Below are 20,933 nucleotides of genomic sequence, written 5' to 3'. Positions count from 1 at the left end.
CCCCGTCTTGGGGCTTTCTGGGTCGGTCTGCCACGAGGTTCTGGTGTTCATTAAAAGTGTGCCCCTGGGCTGCCAGAAAGCCCCTCCCTGTGTGCTCTCTTGAGGGCTGTGGGGCCAAGGGGACCCTGGCTGTCTCAGCCCCCCGCAGAGCACGAGCCCCTGGTCCCCGCAAGCCCGCGGGCTGAGGATGATTCAGACAGGGCTGGGGAGTGAAGGCAATTAGATTCCACGGACGAGCCCTTTCTCCTGCGCCTCCCTCCTTCCTCACCCACCCCCGCCTCCATCAGGCACAGCAGGCAGGGGTGGGGGATGTAAGGAGGGGAAGGTGGGGGACCCAGAGGGGGCTTTGACGTCAGCTCAGCTTATAAGAGGCTGCTGGGCCAGGGCTGTGGAGACGGAGCCCGGACCTCCACACTGAGCCATGCCCACCCCCGACGCCACCACGCCACAGGCCAAGGGCTTCCGCAGGGCCGTGTCTGAGCTGGACGCCAAGCAGGCAGAGGCCATCATGGTAAGAGGGCAGGTAGGTGCCCGGCGGCCGCAGTGGACCGGAGCCCAGGGCTGGTGCCAGCTGCCTCTGCTACTCCCCAGCCTGGCTGGCAGCCCCAGGCTCAGGGTCCATGCAAACCCCTGGGACGCGGCGTGGATGTGGAGGCCTGGGCACAGCGGCATCCCCTGTGCCTGGTGTTTGAGTCCCTGTTGGGGGAGGGTGAGGTGATGCCTGTCCCTGTGTGTGCCCCTCTTAGGCCGACCTCTCTCGGGGGTCGTGTGGGTCTCTGTGTCTTGTTTCATCTTGAATCTTAACGATCGGAATGTGGAAACAAATCCATCCAAAAAATCCAAGATGGCCAGAGGTCCCCGGCTGCTGCACCCAGCCCCCACCCTACTCCCACCTGCCCCTGCCTCCCTCTGCCCCAGCTGCCCTAGTCAGCACCCCAACCAGCCTGCCTGCTTGGGGAGGCAGCCCCAAGGCCCTTCCCAGGCTCTAGCAGCAGCTCATGGTGGGGGGTCCTGGGCAAATAGGGGGCAAAATTCAAAGGGTATCTGGGCTCTGGGGTGATTCCCATTGGCCTGTTCCTCCCTTATTTCCCTCATTCATTCATTCATTCATTCATTCATTCACCATGGAGTCTGTGTTCCCTGTGACCTGCACTCGGAAGCCCTGTGTACAGGGGACTGTGTGGGCCAGGCTGGATAATCGGGAGCTTTTCAGCCCACAGGAGGGGTCTTCGGTGCCTCCTTGGGCACTCAGAACCTTGGGCTCCCTGGCACATTTAAAATGGGTTTTTATTTATGGACCTTGATTGAAATGTGGTGTGAGTTGTAGCAGTGTCATTTCCAGGTACCTTCTCAGGGACACAGGGCGCCCTCCCCCGTCCTCCCCCGCCCTCCCCTACCCTCCCCCACCAGGCTCCCCATCAGGCATCCCCTCCCCAGGGCGCCCCGGGGCCCAGCCTCACAGGCTCTCCGTGGCCTGGAACTGCAGCCCCAGCTGCATCCTACACCCCCACCCCAAGGGTAAGTAAGAGGGGACTCTGGGAGGGGCTTCTGCTGCTCCCCTTCATGTTCCACAACCCTGGAAGCTCAGGATGAAGCTGATTCTTCTCTTACAAGGGGCCCAGAGCCTTCTTGGGAGTTCAGCTCCAAGGGATGAGCCCCAGGTGTCTGCCAAGTCCCCCTCTGTCCAGGCCTGGGACGGCTCTGGGATCGAGGGGTCAGAGGCGCTGAGCCCAGGGAGAGACACCTGCGCCCAGAGCTATGACAAAGGGTGGAGGGATGACAAGGCAGCCAGGAGCGGGCGCCTGCGGGGTGGCACAGAGGGGCAGGGCCCGAGGACAGGTGTCCTGATGGGAGTGTGAGAAAGGGTCCCCTGTGCGGCAGCCAGGAGGGTAGGGGGGTTGTTCACTGGGGCCCTGTGGGGGCAGCTCCTTCCTGAGCTGCCGTTCCCTCCCCGGCAGCCGATGCCACTGTCCATCAAGACATCGCCCTCTTCCCATCACTAATCCAGTTAGCGCCTGGCCTGGGGATGAGTGACACAGCGTCTCTGTCTGTCTGCTCGCCACAGAGTGGGGAGCAGGCGAGCACCTTCCCAGCCCCCACTCCTCCCCCACCACCACTGCTTCTGACTGGGCTGCCCCCATCGGGAAGGGCGTGCAATGCCCGCAGGCACCTCGGCTAGCATCTGCCCCAGCAGGCACACAGTAGGCGCTCAAAAACGTGCTCTCATCCCCTGCCTCTGTGTGCCATCAGCGCTGCCCGACTGTGGGACCAGCTGTGGGTGGAGGTCCCCGGGTCTCAGCAGGTGGAGGAGGCATGGGTGCCCCTTGTCCCCACAGTCCCCGCGGTTCATTGGGCGCAGGCAGAGCCTCATCGAGGACGCCCGCAAGGAGCGGGAGGCGGCGGTGGCAGCAGCGGCCGCTGCAGTCCCCTCGGAGCCCGGGGACCCCCTGGAGGCTGTGGCCTTTGAGGAGAAGGAGGGGAAGGCCGTGCTAAACCTGCTCTTCTCCCCGAGGGCCACCAAGCCCTCGGCGCTGTCCCGAGCTGTGAAGGTGTTTGAGGTGAGCTGGTGGCCTTCGTGTCCCTGGGGCAAGTTCACCTGTGGGTGGGGCTGTGTGGGCTGAGTTCCTGACCCCTCTATAGCAGAGGTGCAGCTGCCCAGGCCCCCGAGGCCGGCACAGGATGCAGCAGGGGAGTCTCAGGCCTCAGCTCAGCCCCCATGGCATCTAGCCACACCCCCGTGTTTTTGAGGGATCCTGAGCCCACCCCTAGGGCTGAGGCTACCAAGCCCCACTGTGCCTCTTGCCTTGCCCATCCCCTGGATCCCCCTCACCCACCATTTCCCACGTGGGGGGCTCCCAGCAGGGCAGCACAAGAGGCAGGGGCAGGGCAGTGTGCCCTCTCCCACCCACCCAGCACAGTGGCTCAGGTGACCACTGATTGCATTAGTCACTCCGGCCCCACTGTGCCCCGGGAGGCAGGTGACCCAGCTCCCGGAAGAAGCTCCCAAATGACATTAAAGCCAGACTCCCCGCCCCCCAGCTCCCAGAGCCAGTTTTGTGGCCCGAGGGCCACTGCGACCCACCGCCCTTGTTGCTAGGCAACAGGAGGTGGGGGTGGAGCGGACCCTTCTGGCCAGTGTCCTGGACGCTCAGGGGCCAGTGAGACTCAGGGCCCATCCTACAAACCTGGATGAGGCCACCAGGGTTGGGGGCACCTTCTGACCAGTGGCTGAGGAGCCGGACTGTGTGGCATGGCCTTGGGACACACACACCGAGCCGCCCAGAACCAGGTTAAGCCTCAAGCGGTGACAACTCCTGGTTAGGCACGTAACACAAAATCCAACTTGCCAGTGGCAAACCCTGGCCTGGTGGCCGACAGCTGACCTGAGCCTGGAAGAACGGGATCTGTGTGCTGCTAGCACAAAAGTCAAGGGCAGGGCCTGGCCAGCCAGCCAGATGTGCCTCCTCCCCGCCCACCCCACCCTCTCTCTCCATCTCTGTCTCTTTCTCCTTCTCTCTCTCTTCCTGCTTTTGCTCCCTAAGACGTTTGAAGCCAAAATCCACCATCTAGAGACCCGGCCCGCCCAGAGGCCGCGAGCTGGGGGCCCCCACCTGGAGTACTTCGTGCGCCTCGAGGTGCGCCGAGGGGACCTGGCCGCCCTGCTCAGTGGTGTGCGCCAGGTGTCAGAGGACGTGCGCAGCCCCGCGGGGCCCAAGGGTGAGGCGGTTTTCTGTCCTTGAGGGCCACCAAATGACCTTGAGAGGCTGGGGTGCAGGGGCTCCTGCAGGGGGACCCTACAGTGACCACGTGGTGGTGGCCTGGTTCCCTCTCTGCGGGCTCCACTCCGCACCCCGTTTTGCTACACATCCGTGTCCGGGCCTGGGGCCACTCCAGGATCCCCCCGCAGCTCTCACAGCCCCGGCTGCCTCTGCCCCCCGGAAGTCTTGTAGGGGAGGCTGCTTCAAGGTGGGTGACACAGCCCCACGGCTCCGAGCTCACCAAGATCTCTTCCTCCATCACCCATAAAGTCCCCTGGTTCCCAAGAAAAGTGTCAGAGCTGGACAAGTGTCATCACCTGGTCACCAAGTTCGACCCTGACCTGGACTTGGACCACCCGGTGAGTGGTGCGCCCCTCACTCAGGCCTCCTGCCCCTGATCACATCCCCTACCCTTAGCCCAACCCTGGACAGGAGTCTGTCGGCTCCAGGAGCCTCCGTGGCCTGTGCCCCCACCCCAGCACAGCCTCCTGACCCGTGCATCCCCTCTGCCCTCAGGGCTTCTCGGACCAGGTGTACCGCCAGCGCAGGAAGCTGATTGCTGAGATCGCCTTCCAGTACAGGCAGTGAGGGGCCCCTGCGCTCGGGACCCAGACTCCGTCCTGCAGGCTGACGCTGGACCTGGGGGGTGGGAGGGAAGGACAAAGGGGAGGACCCATCTTGTCACCAGCATCAGTGCCTCCTGCCAGGCAGCTCTGCTCCAGGGCTTTCCATGTCCCCAAATCCCAGTGGGGAAACTGAGGCCCAGGGGGGCTAGAGCAACCTGCCGAGGCCACATAGCCGGCTCACGGCACAGTCAGCTGGGGTGCACCCTCCTGTCCATCCTCCAACCCAAAGGCCTCGCTGCACTAGGCGGGTGTGGACCTGTGCCCAGTGAAGCTCCCTCCCTCCCTCCTGCCCTTCTCACTCCCCGAGGGGACCTGCTGACCACTGGCCCCCTCCCCAGCGGCGACCCGATTCCCCGTGTGGAGTACACCGCCGAGGAGATTGCCACCTGGTGAGACCTCCGTGCAGCTAGGGGCTGGGGAGGAGCCCGGGGGATGCCTCCTGGAATCCTGGCGTGTGAGGGCCGCCTCCAGGGACCTTGGCACAACAGGAGAGACTAAGGCCGGGAAGAAGAGGGACTTGCAGGGCTCAGAATGTTGGGTTGGGAGGAAGAGGCTACCCATCCTGTCGGGCCATCCCCAGTGTGCTGAGGGACCGCCCCTCATGGCCCCCTATCCCCTGGGATTCCCTAAAGCCACCAGCAAAAGCCCCTCCCGGGGGCCTGGGTCTTCAGGGGTCCCCAAGAGGCCTGCGTTGGTAGGGGCTCAGGCAGGCAGAGGCACCCACAGTTCAGGAGGGGGGTTTCGGGCACTGGGGTGGGGCATTAGAGGGCCCTGAGCCTGGCTGCCCGCAGGAAGGAGGTCTACACCACGCTGAAGGGCCTCTACGCCACGCACGCCTGCGGGGAGCACCTGGAGGCCTTTGCTTTGCTGGAGCGCTTCAGCGGCTACCGGGAAGACAATATCCCCCAGCTGGAGGACGTCTCCCGCTTCCTGAAGGGTGTGCCCAGACGGGAGGGGCGCAGAGCCGGGGGGCCGGGGATGGTCAGCCAAGCGCCCCACCCCAGCGCGGCTCCAGCCCGTCCCGGCTCGGCAGTGACCCGCGTGGCCCCTTGCAGAGCGCACGGGCTTCCAGCTGCGGCCTGTGGCCGGCCTGCTGTCCGCCCGGGACTTCCTGGCCAGCCTGGCCTTCCGCGTGTTCCAGTGCACCCAGTATATCCGCCACGCGTCCTCGCCCATGCACTCCCCTGAGCCGTGAGTGCGCGCCCTGGCCGCCAGCCCGAGGGTGGGGGGTGCGACGGGCGGCCCCTCAGCCCCCTTCTCCCTCCTACGCGCAGGGACTGCTGCCACGAGCTGCTGGGGCACGTGCCCATGCTGGCCGACCGCACCTTCGCGCAGTTCTCGCAGGTACGCCGCGGCCTCGGAGGGAGCCGGGGTCACCCAGGGGCTGGCTTGGCGCCGGGGGCGGGCGGGGATCGATGTGCGGGTGGGTGAAGTGTGCTGCCTGCTCCCGGGCCCCGCCAAGGAGGCTCGGCGCCCCGAGGGTCGCGCGGCATAGGGCGGGGCTGGAGCGGAGCCTCCCACGGCCTGTGCTGCCACCTGCCGGCTACCTGGGAACGGCGCCCACGGGCTTAGGAATGTGGTCAAGGAGGGCTGCCTGGAGGAGGAGGCCCGGTGGAGGTGCGGATCCTGGGCGGCCAGGGAAGGTCTCTGCCGCCAGGGAAGTGTCCCAGAGACCCCTGGAGGGGCTGCTGACACCCCCGGTGCCCCCACCTCGAGCATGACCCAGGGCTGCCTCTCCCCATCCTTCATCCTCCCTGCTCCACAGGACATTGGCCTGGCGTCCCTGGGGGCCTCGGATGAGGAAATTGAGAAGCTGTCCACGGTGGGTTGACCCCTCCCTGCAGGGCCTGGGGTGTGGGTTTGGGGGTCTGAATCCAGGCCTCACCCTCTTGCCGTCCAGGCTGAGGCCTCTCCTTCCACCCACGAATTGTGACCCTCACCCTGGCCTGCCTGCATCCTGGCCTGGCCTCCCTGGGGGTGGTATCCTGGTCACGGGTGACCAGGGGCTGCCCGGTGGGCGGCAGCTGTCTCTGGGCTGATGCTGCCCGGCTTCCCCGCAGCTGTACTGGTTCACGGTGGAGTTCGGGCTGTGTAAGCAGAACGGGGAGGTGAAGGCCTATGGTGCCGGGCTGCTGTCCTCCTACGGGGAGCTCCTGGTGAGAGTCTCTCCTTGCTGCAGCCCCCAGCAGAGGGGCAGGGCTGGGGGACGGTGCAGGGAGGGGACAGGCTCCCAGTGGGAGGAAACTGAGGCCTGGACCTCCAGGACTCAGGCTCTGTTTGGGAGAAGGCTTGTCTCTGCCCAGTCCTCACCCCACATTATCCCAGGCCTCCGAAGGCCCGGCGGGGGAGATGGGGGTGACTCTACCCAAGGAACCCACCCAGCGTCAGGCCACGGTGCCCCAGTTCCCTCGGGGACCTGGGTGCAGTGGAGTCAGTGATGCCATTGGCCTCCTGCCAGCACTGCCTGTCTGAGGAGCCTGAGATTCGGGCCTTCGACCCTGAGGCTGCGGCCGTGCAGCCCTACCAAGACCAGACGTACCAGTCAGTCTACTTCGTGTCTGAGAGCTTCAGTGACGCCAAGGACAAGCTCAGGTGGGCTAGGCTGCTAGGGCAAGCCCCCCATGGTGCCCCCAAACTGGGCCAGCCAGGCCTTCCTTCTGGCCTTGAGCAGGGCTGGACCTGTGAGCCCAGGTCACAGATGAGAAAACCGACCCCTGGTTGCAGCAGCCCCCACACAGCAGGGACACCATCCGTGAGAAGGACCCCAGCGTCTGGGGAGGGGCAGACCTACAGGACTGGGGGCTGCTGGGTGGCCGGGTCAAGGCCAGTCTTGGAGGTGCTGACAGAGCCTGAGCTTTGTGAGGACGTCCTGTGGAACCTGTCCCGGCCCCCTGCCCTGGGATGGGGAGAAGTCAGGGGGATAGACAGAGTCAAGGTGGGGGACAGGGCGGGAGTGGGGTCCCCAGGGCTGGGGGCCTTTGGTGCAGTGACCAGAGTGTCAGGAGAGGGGAGCAAAGCCCTCTAGCCTCATCCTCATAAAAGGTCTCATCATTTTCCCTCCAGCCTCTTATGCACTGGGGAAACTGAGGCCAGGGGCTATGTGTCCAGCGGACAGGGGTGCTGAATTCCACCCACAGGCTTAGGGATATGGTCAAGGAAAGCTTCCTGGAGGAGGCCCAGTGGAGGTTCAGGGAGGGATGGGGTGCCCGGCAGTCTCTAGTGGAAAAGGCGCCTAGCCTATCTCCCCCATGAACCCCCTCACCCAGCCCTGGAAGAGGCCTCAGTGTCCCGCCTGTGACCAGTTGGCTCAGAAAAGCCCTGGGAGCTCTGAGCCACTGTGAAGGTGGAAACGCGGCCCCTGGCCTCCCCTCTCCTGGAGGCTGCAGACTCTGCCCGCCAGTTGACGAGGGCTCTGCCGCTCTCCTCCCCAGGAGCTATGCCTCACGCATCCAGCGCCCCTTCTCCGTGAAGTTCGACCCGTACACGCTGGCCATCGACGTGCTGGACAGCCCCCAGGCCGTGCGGCGCTCCCTGGAGGGTGTCCAGGATGAGCTGGACACCCTTGCCCATGCGCTGAGTGCCATTGGCTAGGTGCACGGCGTCCCTGAGGGCCCTTCCCAACCTCCCCTGGTCCTGCACTGTCCCGGAGCTCAGGCCCTGGTGAGGGGCTGGGTCCCGGGTGCCCCCCATGCCCTCCCTGCTGCCAGGCTCCCACTGCCCCTGCACCTGCTTCTCAGCGCAACAGCTGTGTGTGCCCGTGGTGAGGTTGTGCTGCCTGTGGTGAGGTCCTGTCCTGGCTCCCAGGGTCCTGGGGGCTGCTGCACTGCCCTCCGCCCTTCCCTGACACTGTCTGCTGCCCCAATCACCGTCACAATAAAAGAAACTGTGGTCTCTACACCTGCCTGGCCCCACATCTGTGCCACAGAGACAGACCCTGGGATCCTCAGACTCCCACACCCCCACCCCAGCCTCACTCAGAGGTTTCGCCCTGGCCTCCTTCCTCCTCTGGGAGATGGCTGGCCGCCCTGGCCAGGCAGCTGGCCCCTCCGGGCCTGGTTTCCCCGCTCACCCTGAGGCCCCGCCCAGCTCTGAGCCCCAAGCAGCTCCAGAGGCTCGGGCACCCTGGCCGAGCTGCCCCATCTCCGTGGGGTGCCCTCCCAAGGTGGGGAGCCACGTGACAGTGGGAGGGCCTCTCTCAGGCCTGGCAGGGAGCAGGGGTCACAAACTGTGCTGGCTGGGGGTGGTCTCAGAGGTGGGCCTGCAGGCCTAACCCTCCCTGCTGACAGGGCTCCCAGCCCTTGAGAGAAACAGGGATGGAGGAACAGCTGCCCTGATGCCCTCACCCACCCGGAGCAGGCCCTGCGAACCAAGGGGAACCTCAGTGTGGCCCCCAGCATGTGTGCTGATGGGGAGGGTCTGGCTGAGCTGGTGCCCAGGCAGATGGTCTGGGCCTGTCTCCCCAGCGAGGCAGGATGGGGGCTGGATTTCAGACTCTGTAAGATGCCCCTGGCTTACTCGAGGGGCCTGGACATTGCCCTCCAGAGAGAGCACCCAACACCCTCCAGGCTTGACCGGCCAGGGTGTCCCCTTCCTACCTTGGAGAGAGCAGCCCCAGGGCATCCTGCAGGGGGTGCTGGGACACCAGCTGGCCTTCAAGGTCTCTGCCTCCCTCCAGCCACCCCACTACACGCTGCTGGGATCCTGGATCTCAGCTCCCCGGCCGACAACACTGGCAAACTCCTACTCATCCACGAAGGCCCTCCTGGGCATGGTGGTCCTTCCCAGCCTGGCAGTCTGTTCCTCACACACCTTGTTAGTGCCCAGCCCCTGAGGTTGCAGCTGGGGGTGTCTCTGAAGGGCTGTGAGCCCCCAGGAAGCCCTGGGGAAGTGCCTGCCTTGCCTCCCCCCGGCCCTGCCAGCGCCTGGCTCTGCCCTCCTACCTGGGCTCCCCCCATCCAGCCTCCCTCCCTACACACTCCTCTCAAGGAGGCACCCATGTCCTCTCCAGCTGCCGGGCCTCAGAGCACTGTGGCGTCCTGGGGCAGCCACCGCATGTCCTGCTGTGGCATGGCTCAGGGTGGAAAGGGCGGAAGGGAGGGGTCCTGCAGATAGCTGGTGCCCACTACCAAACCCGCTCGGGGCAGGAGAGCCAAAGGCTGGGTGTGTGCAGAGCGGCCCCGAGAGGTTCCGAGGCTGAGGCCAGGGTGGGACATAGGGATGCGAGGGGCCGGGGCACAGGATACTCCAACCTGCCTGCCCCCATGGTCTCATCCTCCTGCTTCTGGGACCTCCTGATCCTGCCCCTGGTGCTAAGAGGCAGGTAGGGGCTGCAGGCAGCAGGGCTCGGAGCCCATGCCCCCTCACCATGGGTCAGGCTGGACCTCCAGGTGCCTGTTCTGGGGAGCTGGGAGGGCCGGAGGGGTGTACCCCAGGGGCTCAGCCCAGATGACACTATGGGGGTGATGGTGTCATGGGACCTGGCCAGGAGAGGGGAGATGGGCTCCCAGAAGAGGAGTGGGGGCTGAGAGGGTGCCTGGGGGGCCAGGACGGAGCTGGGCCAGTGCACAGCTTCCCACACCTGCCCACCCCCAGAGTCCTGCCGCCACCCCCAGATCACACGGAAGATGAGGTCCGAGTGGCCTGCTGAGGACTTGCTGCTTGTCCCCAGGTCCCCAGGTCATGCCCTCCTTCTGCCACCCTGGGGAGCTGAGGGCCTCAGCTGGGGCTGCTGTCCTAAGGCAGGGTGGGAACTAGGCAGCCAGCAGGGAGGGGACCCCTCCCTCACTCCCACTCTCCCACCCCCACCACCTTGGCCCATCCATGGCGGCATCTTGGGCCATCCGGGACTGGGGACAGGGGTCCTGGGGACAGGGGTGTGGGGACAGGGGTCCTGGGGACAGGGGTCTGGGGACAGGGGTCCTGGGGACAGGGGTGTGGGGACAGGGGTGTGGGGACAGGGGTGTGGGGACAGGGGTCCTGGGGACAGGGGTCTGGGGACAGGGGTCTGAGGACAGGGGTGTGGGGACAGGGGTGTGGGGACAGGGGTGTGGGGACAGGGGTGTGGGGACAGGGGTCTGGGGACAGGGGTCCGGGGGACAGGGGTGTGGGGACAGGGGTGTGGGGACAGGGGTGTGGGGACAGGGGTCTGGGGACAGGGGTGTGGGGACAGGGGTCCTGGGGACAGGGGTGTGGGGATAGGGGTGTGGGGACAGGGGTGTGGGGACAGGGGTGTGGGGACAGGGGTCTGGGGACAGCAGCGCAAAGAGCCCCGCCCTGCAGCCTCCAGCTCTCCTGGTCTAATGTGGAAAGTGGCCCAGGTGAGGGCTTTGCTCTCCTGGAGACATTTGCCCCCAGCTGTGAGCAGGGACAGGTCTGGCCACCGGGCCCCTGGTTAAGACTCTAATGACCCGCTGGTCCTGAGGAAGAGGTGCTGACGACCAAGGAGATCTTCCCACAGACCCAGCACCAGGGAAATGGTCCGGAAATTGCAGCCTCAGCCCCCAGCCATCTGCCGACCCCCCCACCCCAGGCCCTAATGGGCCAGGCGGCAGGGGTTGAGAGGTAGGGGAGATGGGCTCTGAGACTATAAAGCCAGCGGGGGCCCAGCAGCCCTCAGCCCTCCAGGACAGGCTGCATCAGAAGAGGCCATCAAGCAGGTCTGTTCCAAGGGCCTTTGCGTCAGGTGGGCTCAGGATTCCAGGGTGGCTGGACCCCAGGCCCCAGCTCTGCAGCAGGGAGGACGTGGCTGGGCTCGTGAAGCATGTGGGGGTGAGCCCAGGGGCCCCAAGGCAGGGCACCTGGCCTTCAGCCTGCCTCAGCCCTGCCTGTCTCCCAGATCACTGTCCTTCTGCCATGGCCCTGTGGATGCGCCTCCTGCCCCTGCTGGCGCTGCTGGCCCTCTGGGGACCTGACCCAGCCGCAGCCTTTGTGAACCAACACCTGTGCGGCTCACACCTGGTGGAAGCTCTCTACCTAGTGTGCGGGGAACGAGGCTTCTTCTACACACCCAAGACCCGCCGGGAGGCAGAGGACCTGCAGGGTGAGCCAACTGCCCATTGCTGCCCCTGGCCGCCCCCAGCCACCCCCTGCTCCTGGCGCTCCCACCCAGCATGGGCAGAAGGGGGCAGGAGGCTGCCACCCAGCAGGGGGTCAGGTGCACTTTTTTAAAAAGAAGTTCTCTTGGTCACGTCCTAAAAGTGACCAGCTCCCTGTGGCCCAGTCAGAATCTCAGCCTGAGGACGGTGTTGGCTTCGGCAGCCCCGAGATACATCAGAGGGTGGGCACGCTCCTCCCTCCACTCGCCCCTCAAACAAATGCCCCGCAGCCCATTTCTCCACCCTCATTTGATGACCGCAGATTCAAGTGTTTTGTTAAGTAAAGTCCTGGGTGACCTGGGGTCACAGGGTGCCCCACGCTGCCTGCCTCTGGGCGAACACCCCATCACGCCCGGAGGAGGGCGTGGCTGCCTGCCTGAGTGGGCCAGACCCCTGTCGCCAGGCCTCACGGCAGCTCCATAGTCAGGAGATGGGGAAGATGCTGGGGACAGGCCCTGGGGAGAAGTACTGGGATCACCTGTTCAGGCTCCCACTGTGACGCTGCCCCGGGGCGGGGGAAGGAGGTGGGACATGTGGGCGTTGGGGCCTGTAGGTCCACACCCAGTGTGGGTGACCCTCCCTCTAACCTGGGTCCAGCCCGGCTGGAGATGGGTGGGAGTGCGACCTAGGGCTGGCGGGCAGGCGGGCACTGTGTCTCCCTGACTGTGTCCTCCTGTGTCCCTCTGCCTCGCCGCTGTTCCGGAACCTGCTCTGCGCGGCACGTCCTGGCAGTGGGGCAGGTGGAGCTGGGCGGGGGCCCTGGTGCAGGCAGCCTGCAGCCCTTGGCCCTGGAGGGGTCCCTGCAGAAGCGTGGCATTGTGGAACAATGCTGTACCAGCATCTGCTCCCTCTACCAGCTGGAGAACTACTGCAACTAGACGCAGCCCGCAGGCAGCCCCACACCCGCCGCCTCCTGCACCGAGAGAGATGGAATAAAGCCCTTGAACCAGCCCTGCTGTGCCGTCTGTGTGTCTTGGGGGCCCTGGGCCAAGCCCCACTTCCCGGCACTGTTGTGAGCCCCTCCCAGCTCTCTCCACGCTCTCTGGGTGCCCACAGGTGCCAACGCCGGCCAGGCCCAGCATGCAGTGGCTCTCCCCAAAGCGGCCATGCCTGTCGGCTGCCTGCTGCCCCCACCCTGTGGCTCAGGGTCCAGTATGGGAGCTGCGGGGGTCTCTGAGGGGCCAGGGGTGGTGGGGCCACTGAGAAGTGACTTCTTGTTCAGTAGCTCTGGACTCTTGGAGTCCCCAGAGACCTTGTTCAGGAAAGGGAATGAGAACATTCCAGCAATTTTCCCCCCACCTAGCCCTCCCAGGTTCTATTTTTAGAGTTATTTCTGATGGAGTCCCTGTGGAGGGAGGAGGCTGGGCTGAGGGAGGGGGTCCTGCAGGGCGGGGGGCTGGGAAGGTGGGGAGAGGCTGCCGAGAGCCACCCGCTATCCCCAGCTCTGGGCAGCCCCGGGACAGTCACACACCCTGGCCTCGCGGCCCAAGCTGGCAGCCGTCTGCAGCCACAGCTTATGCCAGCCCAGGTCCAGCCAGACACCTGAGGGACCCACTGGTGCCTTGGAGGAAGCAGGAGAGGTCAGATGGCACCATGAGCTGGGGCAGGTGCAGGGACCGTGGCAGCACCTGGCAGGGCCTCAGAACCCATGCCTTGGGCACCCCGGCCATGAGGCCCTGAGGATTGCAGCCCAGGAGAAGCAGGGAACCGCCAGGGCCACAGGGGCAGAGACCAGGGCCAGGGTCCCCCTGCAGCCCCTTAGCCCACCCCCTCCCAGTAAGCAGGGCTGCTTGGCTGGCTTCCTTTGCTACAGACCTGCTGCTCACCCAGAAGGGCCCACGGGCCCTGGTGACAAGGTCGTTGTGGCTCCAGGTCCTTGGGGGTCCTGACACAGAGCCTCTTCTGCAGCACCCCTGAGGACAGGGTGGCTCCGCTGGGCACCCAGCCTAGTGGGCAGACGAGAACCTAGGGGCTGCCTGGGCCTACTGTGGCCTGGGAGGTCAGCGGGTGACCCTAGCTACCCTGTGGCTGGGCCAGTCTGCCTGCCACCCAGGCCAAACCAATCTGCACCTTTCCTGAGAGCTCCACCCAGGGCTGGGCTGGGGATGGCTGGGCCTGGGGCTGGCATGGGCTGTGGCTGCAGACCACTGCCAGCTTGGGCCTCGAGGCCAGGAGCTCACCCTCCAGCTGGGGACCTGGCCACTGGGGCAGCCCTGTTCCTGAAGCTCTGAGCTCACCCCTTCCCCATGACCACATCAGCCCCCCTCCACCCAGAGATGTCACAGCCCCCAGCTAGCCCCGCCTCCAGAGTGGGGGCCAAGGCTGGGCAGGCGGGTGGACGGCCGGACACTGGCCCCGGAAGAGGAGGGAGGCGGTGGCTGGGATCGGCAGCAGCCGTCCATGGGAACACCCAGCCGGCCCCACTCGCACGGGTAGAGACAGGGGCGCCCTGCTGGAGCTGAGGTATGTGAGCTCGCGCGGGGCTGGGCCAAAGCGGGGCCCGGTGGGCCGGCTGGGAGGCTGCCCACCAGTCAGCCATCGGCCAAGCTGTTGCCCTGGCTGACCCTGATGGCCAACAAGGCCGTAGGGAGTGATGGGCAGAGGCCCCTTCTGGGAGGGGAGGGTCAGTGCTCTGTGGGGGACCGTGTGTTGGAGTGGAGGGCAGCAGGAGGAGCCCTTTGGTGTCCAGGGACTCCTGGAGCTGCCCCAGCCTTCCAGGACTTGCAGGGCAGCTGGCACTGGCTGGTGCTGGGGGCTGAGGAGTGTCTTTTGAGGGGCCAAATTTTCTGTGACTTCTGTCCTGGGGGACCTCTGACCTGAGGCCTCAGGAGAGGGCAAGGCCGCCCACCCAAAAGAGATGCAGCCATGGTTCGCGGTGCCCTCGGCTGCCCTGGGCCAGAGCTGGGGCTAGCTTTCACCTTGTTGAGACCCAGGACTCTGTCCCCCAAGCCTGTCTTCGCCAGCGCCTTGACCCCACCCCTCATATACTGTGTCCTGGAAAACGTGGACACGGGAGACCGCAGCCAGGGCGAGGTATCGCCCCTCCATCCCCCCAGGCCCAATGAGAAGCAGTTGGCCAAGGTGATCCAGGTGGCAGAGGCAGCATCAGACCCAGTCTCCTGTCAGGCACCACCTTGGGTGCCGGTCCCCAGATGCCCTGGCGGGGAGTGTGCATGCTCCCGGAGCCCCCAGGTCACCCCATGTGAGCCAGGCCCACAGAGCTTGGCTCTGCAATGCCTGCTGGGCTGCTGCCCATGCTCCACCCCTTCTGGGAAGCTAAAAGACAGCCCTTCAGTGTCCAGAGACCTGCCTGGCCTTGGAGCCTCGGTTTCACATGCCCACCGGGCTGGCAGGGGCACTCAGCTGCCTCCAGCCCCGGCGGTCACCCTGGCATTGGGTCCATCTAACTGCTCCCCAGTCACAAGGCAGCTGCTCCCCAAGTCTCCCCAAACCTGCTGGCCCCTCTAGAAGCCTCTGTCCATTCCTGGAGGACCGAGGGCAGCCTGCATGCCATCCCGCACACAGCCTTCTGTCTGGGCGTCCTGCCTTCACACATGCTGCACAGGGAGGAAACTCTTATACCACATTCCTTAAGCAGAGACTGAAGCCTGGAGCCAGGCACATGGCACGTGCTCCCACCCACCCAGGACACACTGCGGTGTGGCTGCCTCCAGGCTGGCCCCCTAGATTGCGTCTGCTCCTGGCATGGATAACTGGCGCCTTTGCCTGGCCGTTGGGGCAGTGTTTGCCTTCCCCTGTCGGCAGCAAATATTTACTGTCCTCCGTCTCCAGGACTCTCCAGGCCTGAGCAGACCCCGGGGGGATGAGTGTGGACTCAGCGGTGCTGAGGGTAGCCCCCTGCCCTTCGGGTCCTGGTGCCCAGCAGGGGTCCAGCCCAGGGAAGAGACTGAGGCCAGGACAGGCAGTGTTTAAGCCTGAGTTTCTGGGAAAGGTAGCCCTGGGCAGAACTTGGGCCGAACGTTGGCCAGTGTCTCTCTCCAGCCAGGCTGTGAGGTAGCTGTTTCCAGGATGGGCACCTTTCCACACCCAGCAATGTGGCCAGGAGCCGCCATTCACGGGTGCGACCAGCAGATGGCATCAGAGCCTCACTTTTGATGCACTCCGGCCACCAGCCACGGGTCCAGGTTCTGGCCACCACCCAGGGTCTGAGCAGCTGCATCCTGCCCCTGCCGGGCACTCCCGGGGGCTGTGGGGCCTGTGGGGGCCCTGCCAGACACTCTTGGGGGCTGTGGGGGGCCCTGCCAGGCACTCCCAGGGACTATGGGGGCTGTGGGGGGCCCTGCTGGGCACTCTGAAGGGCATGGGGCTTAGGAATGAGAGGAGCTGTCTGATGATGATGGTGGGGGCATTGCAGAGGCCCCCGGCCTGCTCAGGTCCAGTCTCGGCCCCTAAGTCAAGCCTCAGGCCAGCCTCTCACCAGCCTGGGTTTCTCAGAGGGCCGGGACAAATGTTCTGGGTCTCTAATATTCCAAGAAAGCCTCTGGCTGGACTCTGAGCCCCACCTGCGAGCCCCTAGAATCACAGAGAGCTAGGGTGAGAAGACCAGGGGGACTCCGTCCCACCCTCGTCGTGGCTGAGCCCACTGTGGCCGGTGGTGGACCAGGCTGTGGCCTTTGCTGAGGGTCCCCAGGGCCCCTGGGGGCTACTGAGGCTGGAGGCCAGCGGTGGCCAGGAGGGTCCCTCCCTCAGCCACTCAAGCCAGAAGGTCGAGTCCTGGTTTCTATGTGAGGAGGGGGCTTCAGGGGCTGGGACCTGGGGGCACCGAAGGCCTGGAGCTGGGGTCCAGGCGGCTGAGGGTTAGTGCGTTCCCACGCTCCCCTCCGCCAGCGCCGTGAGGAGAGGGAGGTCCACTCTGGAAAGAATGTTTGAGGGCAGGGGTAGACAGGGTCTGGGAACGCGGAGATGACACACTGGGGTGCCGCCTCCGCACCCTCCGCCCTTCCTCCCACTATTGTTTCTGGCCTCGGCCGCAGGAACAGCAAGGCAGATTCCTTCGAAAGTGGGGCCGGCCGGAGGCGGCACCCCATCGTCCCTCTCGCGGCCCAGCCGTGCTGTGCTGGCGCCAAGCTCCCCGCCGGCCTCCCACGCGCTCCTCCGCGTCCTCAGCTCACTCCTCTGCTCCCAGGTGGCCCCAGTCCTCACCCCACCTCGCTTGGACTCCCCACTTCCTGCCCATCTGCCGCTGTTGGGAGACCCTCTCCCTGACCCCAGGGACTGCTGAGGCAGCCTCCAAGCCTCCCAGTGTCCCCGAGGCTGCCCCTAGAAGCTGGCTTGGGGCTGTACCAAAAGGTCACCCCACAGTCCCCACTCCAAGGCAGGTTGATAGCAGGGATCTCAGGGTGCCCATGGATCAAGGACTAAGTCAGAGTCGGGGTCCCTCAGGCCGAGGGTAACGTAGGTGGTGCCTGCCAGGCTCTCCTCGCCCAGGGGGGCTGAGAATGTCTAAACCCGGGTGGCTGTGACCCCTAGGCAGAGCCAGCCCAGCCCTTGCCAGGGATGGAGACCGGCCTCGAGGAGGCCAAGCCCTGGGGGTCCACAGGCCTGTGGGCTTCGGGGAGGCTCTGCTCCCTGTGGCCCTGTGTGGCCCAGGCTGCTGAGTCATCAGAACCTCGGGGGCGCCGCGGGCCCCACATTCCGCCCAGGCCTCTCTCTGACCCCCTTCCCAGCCCATCTGTGTTTTTGGAAAACAGAGCCAGAGCCCCCCGCGGCCCTGCCAGCTTGCGGCTGCTCACGCTGGGACTCAAATCGCACCCTTCTGTCTTCAAAGTCCACCTTCACTTCAAAGCTCGGTCCCACCCCAGCCCGGCCTCCACAGGGCCACCACCTGCCCACATCCAGGCCCGCTGCTGCCCAGTTTCGGAGGGACCTTGGGCATCCCCTGATCCTCTCTAGAGCGCGGGGTTCCTGGCATGGGCCCGTTACACATGGGTGGCTCGGTGGGTGGTGAGGACGGGGCTGGGAGAAGATCCTGGGGACCCCATGGTGGAGGCAATGAGGCACCCAAACCCCAACTCCAGCGATGGCTGCTTCCACGGGGCCCTCCGAGCCCTGACCTTCAAGGTGCAAGAAAAGCTTTCAGGGGCAGGGGTGAGTGGAAGGTGGGCTTCCTCCCTTGCCACCTGGGGGGCGGGCCCAGGACAGATGCTCCGTGAGAGCACTTCCCAACCTAGGCCCAGCTGTGGGGAAGGAGGGAGCAGGCGGCTGGGCTCCAGGCAGGGGGAAGAGTTGCCTGAGAACTCAGGGAGAGAGGGAGGGCTGGGGCACCCCATGCCAGCTCCAGCTGCAGCACCAGAGCTCAGAGCAGAGGAGGCAGGAGCCAGCAGGCTGGGAGGCTTCCTGGAGGAGGTGTCCCAGGCCCCTGCCAGCACTGCAGCCTTGAGCACGAGGCCACGCTGGGCTCCTGCTTCCAGGGCCGCAGACCCAGCCCAGCACTGCCCATGCTGCCCTTGCCAGGGACCCTTACAGAGCTAGCACCTGGGTCCCTCCCCCTGGCTGGGCATGGGCTGGTCTCGACAACAAAGAAGGGGTAGCTGTGGCCTCAAGGTCTACAACAGGTTGTGATCTGTGGGTGCCAAGAAGTCATGGGCCCTCAGCATCCTCAGGGCCAGTGAGTGTCCACCTGGGCCAGTGTGGGGCTGAAGGGTGAGAGCTGAGAGGCGGGGCTGACATCCTGGCTCTGCTGCCAGTGGCTGTGTGGCCTTGGGAAAGTCACTTAGCATCTCTGGGCCTTGGTTTCCTCATCCATCAGAAGGGAACCAAAGAAGGCCCTGCCTGCCTCAGCTGCTGGATGGTGTAGCTCAGTGTTGTCTGTGAGAGGCAGGCCCTTCGGCAGCCGCGCCTCTGGCTTCAGTACACCCGTGAGCTGCTTTCTGTGCCCAGGCCTTCAAATCACGGGGACAGCCCCGTGGGTGTGGTTCAGGTCTGGGCACCACAGGCAAGGGGAAGCTGACATGTCCTCCGTGGGAAGTGGCAGTCCCCATGGCTACCGGGCATGCACAGGGCGTGTGGAAGGGACCTTGGAGGGAGGAGCAGCTCCTCGAGGGAGGAGCCCGGGGCTGGGGTACGGAGGCCTCTGCACATCTTAGAGTAAAACAAGCAGGAGAGGCTGGGTGCGGTGGCTCATGCCTATAATCCCAGCACTTTAGGAGGCTGAGGCGGGCAGATCACCTGAGGTCGGGAGTTCAAGACCAGCCTGACCAACAGGGAGAAACCCCATCTTTACTAAAACTACAAAATTAGCTGGGTGTGGTGGCACATGCCTGTAATCCCAGATATTCGGGAGGCTGAGGCAGGAGAATCGCTTGAACCTGGGAAGCAGAGGTTGCGCTGAGCCGAGATGGCACCATTGCACTCCAGCCTGGGCAACGAGAGCGAAACTCCGTCTCAAAAAAACAAAAACAAAAAAATCAAAACAATCAAAAAAACAAGCAGGAGGGGCTCTGAGGTGCCTGCAACACCCAGGTACAATCCGTGGCCCTGAGGCCCATCACAGGGAAGGGGTCTTTGCAGCTCTTTCAACCCCCAGCCCAGCATCCAAGGAAGCCCAGGGCAGGGAGAAACCTCAGCTGCACCATCAGAGCTCAGAACAGAGAAGGCAGAAATTAGCAGGGAGTGGGGCTGGGGAGGCTTCCTGGAAGACGTGTCTCCCGCCTTGCTGGCACTGAGGCCTTGAGGATGGGTCCATACTGGGCCCCCACTGCCAGGGATGCAGATCCGGCCCACTGCTGAAATCTGTGCTCCTGGAGCCTCCCTCCTGTTCATGGGCCACAGGCTGTGAAAACCCCAGAGTCCTCCCAGGCAGCAAGTTTTGTTTTGTTTTTTGTTTGTTTGCTTGTTTGTTTTTTGAGAGTCTTGCTCTGTCATCCAGGCTGGAGTCCAATGGTGCGATCTCAGCTCACTGCAACCCCTGCCAGCCAGCAAGTTTTGCTGGAGCAGGTGGAGGAGTCTTTGCAGCGAGCTCCCGAGCTGCCTAGGCCTGCCGAAGAGTTGCTGAGCACATGACCACCAAAAAAGGTTTCGGCACCTGTGGACCTGTGGGTAGGGGAGGCAGGGGCAAATGTCACTTTACGTCAGGGGGAGGATAAAATCGAACGTTTATTAACATTGATTTTGTGCCAGAGGTGGCTACCCAGACCCATCCACTGTAGCCGTGAGGTTGGAAGGGAGAGGGGAGGCATGAACTGGTTTGTCCAAGGTCGTTGGCAGAGCGCGGCTGTGAACTGGGTTAGCCCCCAGGCCCCTCCTGCCCATCCGTCCTCCAAGCACTGATGTGCGAGTGGCACAGTGGTCCCCTTGGCCCTGCCAGCCCCTCGGGCTGTGGCCCTATAGCCTTTGAAGGACGGCCTCACTTCCCCAGCAGAGGCAGCCTGGCCTTCCAGTACCTCGATGGTGTAGGGCTCTGGGGCCACAGTCTGGTGTTTTCAGGACTAGGTTGTGGGTTACTTCCTCCTCTTCTCTCAATTCCCAAGGTTTGTTAAGCGGCCCTGTAGCTACGGTCATGGCAATATGGATTTACTGGCGGTGCTTTCTGAAGCTGTGGATGCAATTCTCACAAGTGGCCACATGGTGTCAGGCTCGGGCCAGATTAGGAAATCTCCGCTTTACAGGTGGAGCCGGGTGGGGCTGGGGAAGCGAGTTAAGAACGAAATTCAGCCCATCTGGGCTCATCCTAGGGACGCTGTCTCTGAAAGGGGGTCTCAACGTTCTGCCCCGGGCCTCTCAGTAATAGATCTCATTTTATGTTCATGCTAATGTGGTGGTTTCCTCTCTTAGAACAAAACGGATGCTTCAGAAAGGTGTTCCAGACCTATCCTGTGGCTTAGGCCCTAAGCTTTAGGATGCTCACCAGGCCACAGCCCCCTCGGGTTAGGAGACACCCGAAGGGAGGAATTCCCTCAGCGCCCCCTCTCAGTCCTGTAATGCCGGGACAGAAGCAGATAAGAGCCCCGGTTCCAAACACAAAGGTGCAGGACCCATGGCACCCTGACACTGTAGGGAGGCGTCCTGACTTTGCCCCCAGAGTCCCCCTCCAGAGTGCCCCAAATTGCGGCGCCCAAGACCTTTGGGTTATGCCACTGTAATTCTAGAAATGGCCGCCAGGTGTCAGCATAAGGCCACTTAAGAGGCTAAATGGCGAAAGCTTGGTGTAGCAGATTTCTGGGGGTTCCCAAGACTCTCATGCATGAACAGGGGTGGGCTGAGCCTCTCCCAGGCCTAAGAGGCAGTGGAGCAAGGAGGTTTTTCTATGTCGTGTCCCTCAATCCTGCACCCCAGTTTTTGTCCATTTTGCGGTCCCTCTCACCTGTCTCCATAAAGCATGTGTCCCCCAGACCCTTGCGTGGAAAATCTGTGGAATGTAGTGCTGTGGGGCCACAGCCCTCACACCCCAACTCACTGATCCCCAATGCCTCTAGTCCTGCCTCGGTGGCACCATG

At 64.3% G+C, this 20,933-nt stretch overlaps 3 protein-coding genes across 12 annotated transcripts in view, besides 29 other annotated features; all 3 read left to right on the top strand.

The window, feature by feature from the left end:
* On the top strand, positions 393-8,279 carry TH (tyrosine hydroxylase). 6 transcript variants are annotated; one of them, NM_199293.3, is made up of 14 exons: positions 393-511; positions 1,438-1,518; positions 2,337-2,558; positions 3,543-3,717; positions 4,029-4,117; positions 4,275-4,342; positions 4,723-4,773; positions 5,176-5,321; positions 5,440-5,575; positions 5,659-5,728; positions 6,150-6,206; positions 6,445-6,540; positions 6,843-6,976; positions 7,816-8,279. In NM_199293.3, exons 1-14 carry the CDS (start codon positions 422-424, stop codon positions 7,973-7,975), a joined length of 1,575 nt encoding a protein of 524 aa, NP_954987.2. In that variant the 5' UTR covers positions 393-421; the 3' UTR covers positions 7,976-8,279. The 6 variants fall into 6 exon arrangements, with proteins under 6 accessions (NP_954987.2, NP_954986.2, NP_000351.2 ...); NM_199292.3 differs by having other exon boundaries at positions 393-523; NM_000360.4 differs by lacking the exon at positions 1,438-1,518.
* Positions 10,237-10,251: a nucleotide motif, noted in NCBI's record as "nucleotide motif; B-type repeat motif". NCBI's record gives the evidence for it as "COORDINATES:manual assertion [ECO:0000218][PMID:7035959]".
* Positions 10,237-10,634: a repeat instability region, noted in NCBI's record as "repeat instability region; instability of the VNTR region has been observed in some germline and somatic cells". NCBI's record gives the evidence for it as "EXISTENCE:polymerase chain reaction evidence [ECO:0000082][PMID:10749978]".
* Positions 10,252-10,265: a nucleotide motif, noted in NCBI's record as "nucleotide motif; A-type repeat motif". NCBI's record gives the evidence for it as "COORDINATES:manual assertion [ECO:0000218][PMID:7035959]".
* Positions 10,266-10,280: a nucleotide motif, noted in NCBI's record as "nucleotide motif; B-type repeat motif". NCBI's record gives the evidence for it as "COORDINATES:manual assertion [ECO:0000218][PMID:7035959]".
* Positions 10,281-10,294: a nucleotide motif, noted in NCBI's record as "nucleotide motif; C-type repeat motif". NCBI's record gives the evidence for it as "COORDINATES:manual assertion [ECO:0000218][PMID:7035959]".
* Positions 10,295-10,309: a nucleotide motif, noted in NCBI's record as "nucleotide motif; B-type repeat motif". NCBI's record gives the evidence for it as "COORDINATES:manual assertion [ECO:0000218][PMID:7035959]".
* Positions 10,310-10,323: a nucleotide motif, noted in NCBI's record as "nucleotide motif; A-type repeat motif". NCBI's record gives the evidence for it as "COORDINATES:manual assertion [ECO:0000218][PMID:7035959]".
* Positions 10,324-10,337: a nucleotide motif, noted in NCBI's record as "nucleotide motif; A-type repeat motif". NCBI's record gives the evidence for it as "COORDINATES:manual assertion [ECO:0000218][PMID:7035959]".
* Positions 10,338-10,351: a nucleotide motif, noted in NCBI's record as "nucleotide motif; A-type repeat motif". NCBI's record gives the evidence for it as "COORDINATES:manual assertion [ECO:0000218][PMID:7035959]".
* Positions 10,352-10,366: a nucleotide motif, noted in NCBI's record as "nucleotide motif; B-type repeat motif". NCBI's record gives the evidence for it as "COORDINATES:manual assertion [ECO:0000218][PMID:7035959]".
* Positions 10,367-10,380: a nucleotide motif, noted in NCBI's record as "nucleotide motif; C-type repeat motif". NCBI's record gives the evidence for it as "COORDINATES:manual assertion [ECO:0000218][PMID:7035959]".
* Positions 10,381-10,394: a nucleotide motif, noted in NCBI's record as "nucleotide motif; G-type repeat motif". NCBI's record gives the evidence for it as "COORDINATES:manual assertion [ECO:0000218][PMID:7035959]".
* Positions 10,395-10,408: a nucleotide motif, noted in NCBI's record as "nucleotide motif; A-type repeat motif". NCBI's record gives the evidence for it as "COORDINATES:manual assertion [ECO:0000218][PMID:7035959]".
* Positions 10,409-10,422: a nucleotide motif, noted in NCBI's record as "nucleotide motif; A-type repeat motif". NCBI's record gives the evidence for it as "COORDINATES:manual assertion [ECO:0000218][PMID:7035959]".
* Positions 10,423-10,436: a nucleotide motif, noted in NCBI's record as "nucleotide motif; A-type repeat motif". NCBI's record gives the evidence for it as "COORDINATES:manual assertion [ECO:0000218][PMID:7035959]".
* Positions 10,437-10,450: a nucleotide motif, noted in NCBI's record as "nucleotide motif; A-type repeat motif". NCBI's record gives the evidence for it as "COORDINATES:manual assertion [ECO:0000218][PMID:7035959]".
* Positions 10,451-10,464: a nucleotide motif, noted in NCBI's record as "nucleotide motif; C-type repeat motif". NCBI's record gives the evidence for it as "COORDINATES:manual assertion [ECO:0000218][PMID:7035959]".
* Positions 10,465-10,478: a nucleotide motif, noted in NCBI's record as "nucleotide motif; D-type repeat motif". NCBI's record gives the evidence for it as "COORDINATES:manual assertion [ECO:0000218][PMID:7035959]".
* Positions 10,480-10,493: a nucleotide motif, noted in NCBI's record as "nucleotide motif; A-type repeat motif". NCBI's record gives the evidence for it as "COORDINATES:manual assertion [ECO:0000218][PMID:7035959]".
* Positions 10,494-10,507: a nucleotide motif, noted in NCBI's record as "nucleotide motif; A-type repeat motif". NCBI's record gives the evidence for it as "COORDINATES:manual assertion [ECO:0000218][PMID:7035959]".
* Positions 10,508-10,521: a nucleotide motif, noted in NCBI's record as "nucleotide motif; A-type repeat motif". NCBI's record gives the evidence for it as "COORDINATES:manual assertion [ECO:0000218][PMID:7035959]".
* Positions 10,522-10,535: a nucleotide motif, noted in NCBI's record as "nucleotide motif; C-type repeat motif". NCBI's record gives the evidence for it as "COORDINATES:manual assertion [ECO:0000218][PMID:7035959]".
* Positions 10,536-10,549: a nucleotide motif, noted in NCBI's record as "nucleotide motif; A-type repeat motif". NCBI's record gives the evidence for it as "COORDINATES:manual assertion [ECO:0000218][PMID:7035959]".
* Positions 10,550-10,564: a nucleotide motif, noted in NCBI's record as "nucleotide motif; B-type repeat motif". NCBI's record gives the evidence for it as "COORDINATES:manual assertion [ECO:0000218][PMID:7035959]".
* Positions 10,565-10,578: a nucleotide motif, noted in NCBI's record as "nucleotide motif; A-type repeat motif". NCBI's record gives the evidence for it as "COORDINATES:manual assertion [ECO:0000218][PMID:7035959]".
* Positions 10,579-10,592: a nucleotide motif, noted in NCBI's record as "nucleotide motif; E-type repeat motif". NCBI's record gives the evidence for it as "COORDINATES:manual assertion [ECO:0000218][PMID:7035959]".
* Positions 10,593-10,606: a nucleotide motif, noted in NCBI's record as "nucleotide motif; A-type repeat motif". NCBI's record gives the evidence for it as "COORDINATES:manual assertion [ECO:0000218][PMID:7035959]".
* Positions 10,607-10,620: a nucleotide motif, noted in NCBI's record as "nucleotide motif; A-type repeat motif". NCBI's record gives the evidence for it as "COORDINATES:manual assertion [ECO:0000218][PMID:7035959]".
* Positions 10,621-10,634: a nucleotide motif, noted in NCBI's record as "nucleotide motif; C-type repeat motif". NCBI's record gives the evidence for it as "COORDINATES:manual assertion [ECO:0000218][PMID:7035959]".
* INS (insulin) lies at positions 10,999-12,429 on the top strand. 4 transcript variants are annotated; one of them, NM_000207.3, is made up of 3 exons: positions 10,999-11,040; positions 11,220-11,423; positions 12,211-12,429. In NM_000207.3, exons 2-3 carry the CDS (start codon positions 11,237-11,239, stop codon positions 12,354-12,356), a joined length of 333 nt encoding a protein of 110 aa, NP_000198.1. In that variant the 5' UTR covers positions 10,999-11,040; positions 11,220-11,236; the 3' UTR covers positions 12,357-12,429. The 4 variants fall into 4 exon arrangements, with proteins under 4 accessions (NP_000198.1, NP_001172026.1, NP_001278826.1 ...); NM_001185097.2 differs by having other exon boundaries at positions 10,999-11,066; NM_001291897.2 differs by having other exon boundaries at positions 10,999-11,100.
* The window catches only part of INS-IGF2 (INS-IGF2 readthrough), a 32,093-nt gene continuing 22,158 nt past the window's right edge, over positions 10,999-20,933 (top strand). For both annotated transcript variants that reach the window (NR_003512.4, NM_001042376.3), the window contains exons 1-2: positions 10,999-11,040; positions 11,220-11,423. Coding sequence is in view for 1 of the 2 variants with exons in the window: in NM_001042376.3 (NP_001035835.1) it covers positions 11,237-11,423 (187 nt within the window). In the remaining variant the exon portion in view is untranslated. The remainder of the gene's footprint in view (positions 11,041-11,219; positions 11,424-20,933) is intronic.

Source organism: Homo sapiens, chromosome 11 (assembly GCF_000001405.40).
Source record: "Homo sapiens chromosome 11, GRCh38.p14 Primary Assembly".
NCBI lineage: Eukaryota > Metazoa > Chordata > Mammalia > Primates > Hominidae > Homo > Homo sapiens.
Note: the sequence above shows the minus strand (reverse complement) of the source record. Positions and strands in the feature narration are given on the sequence as shown.

Excerpts from the sequence above, each read along its gene's own strand:
- TH (NM_199292.3), top strand. The coding sequence starts at position 422 with ATGCCCACCCCCGACGCCACCACGCCACAGGCCAAGGGCTTCCGCAGG. Across the intron at positions 524-1,437 it reads CCATCATGGTAAGAGGGCAG|GGCGCCCCGGGGCCCAGCCT; the intron begins GTAGGTGCCCGG and ends TCCCCTCCCCAG. Across the intron at positions 6,207-6,444 it reads AAATTGAGAAGCTGTCCACG|CTGTACTGGTTCACGGTGGA; the intron begins GTGGGTTGACCC and ends GCTTCCCCGCAG.
- INS (NM_000207.3), top strand. The coding sequence starts at position 11,237 with ATGGCCCTGTGGATGCGCCTCCTGCCCCTGCTGGCGCTGCTGGCCCTC. Across the intron at positions 11,424-12,210 it reads GGAGGCAGAGGACCTGCAGG|TGGGGCAGGTGGAGCTGGGC; the intron begins GTGAGCCAACTG and ends ACGTCCTGGCAG.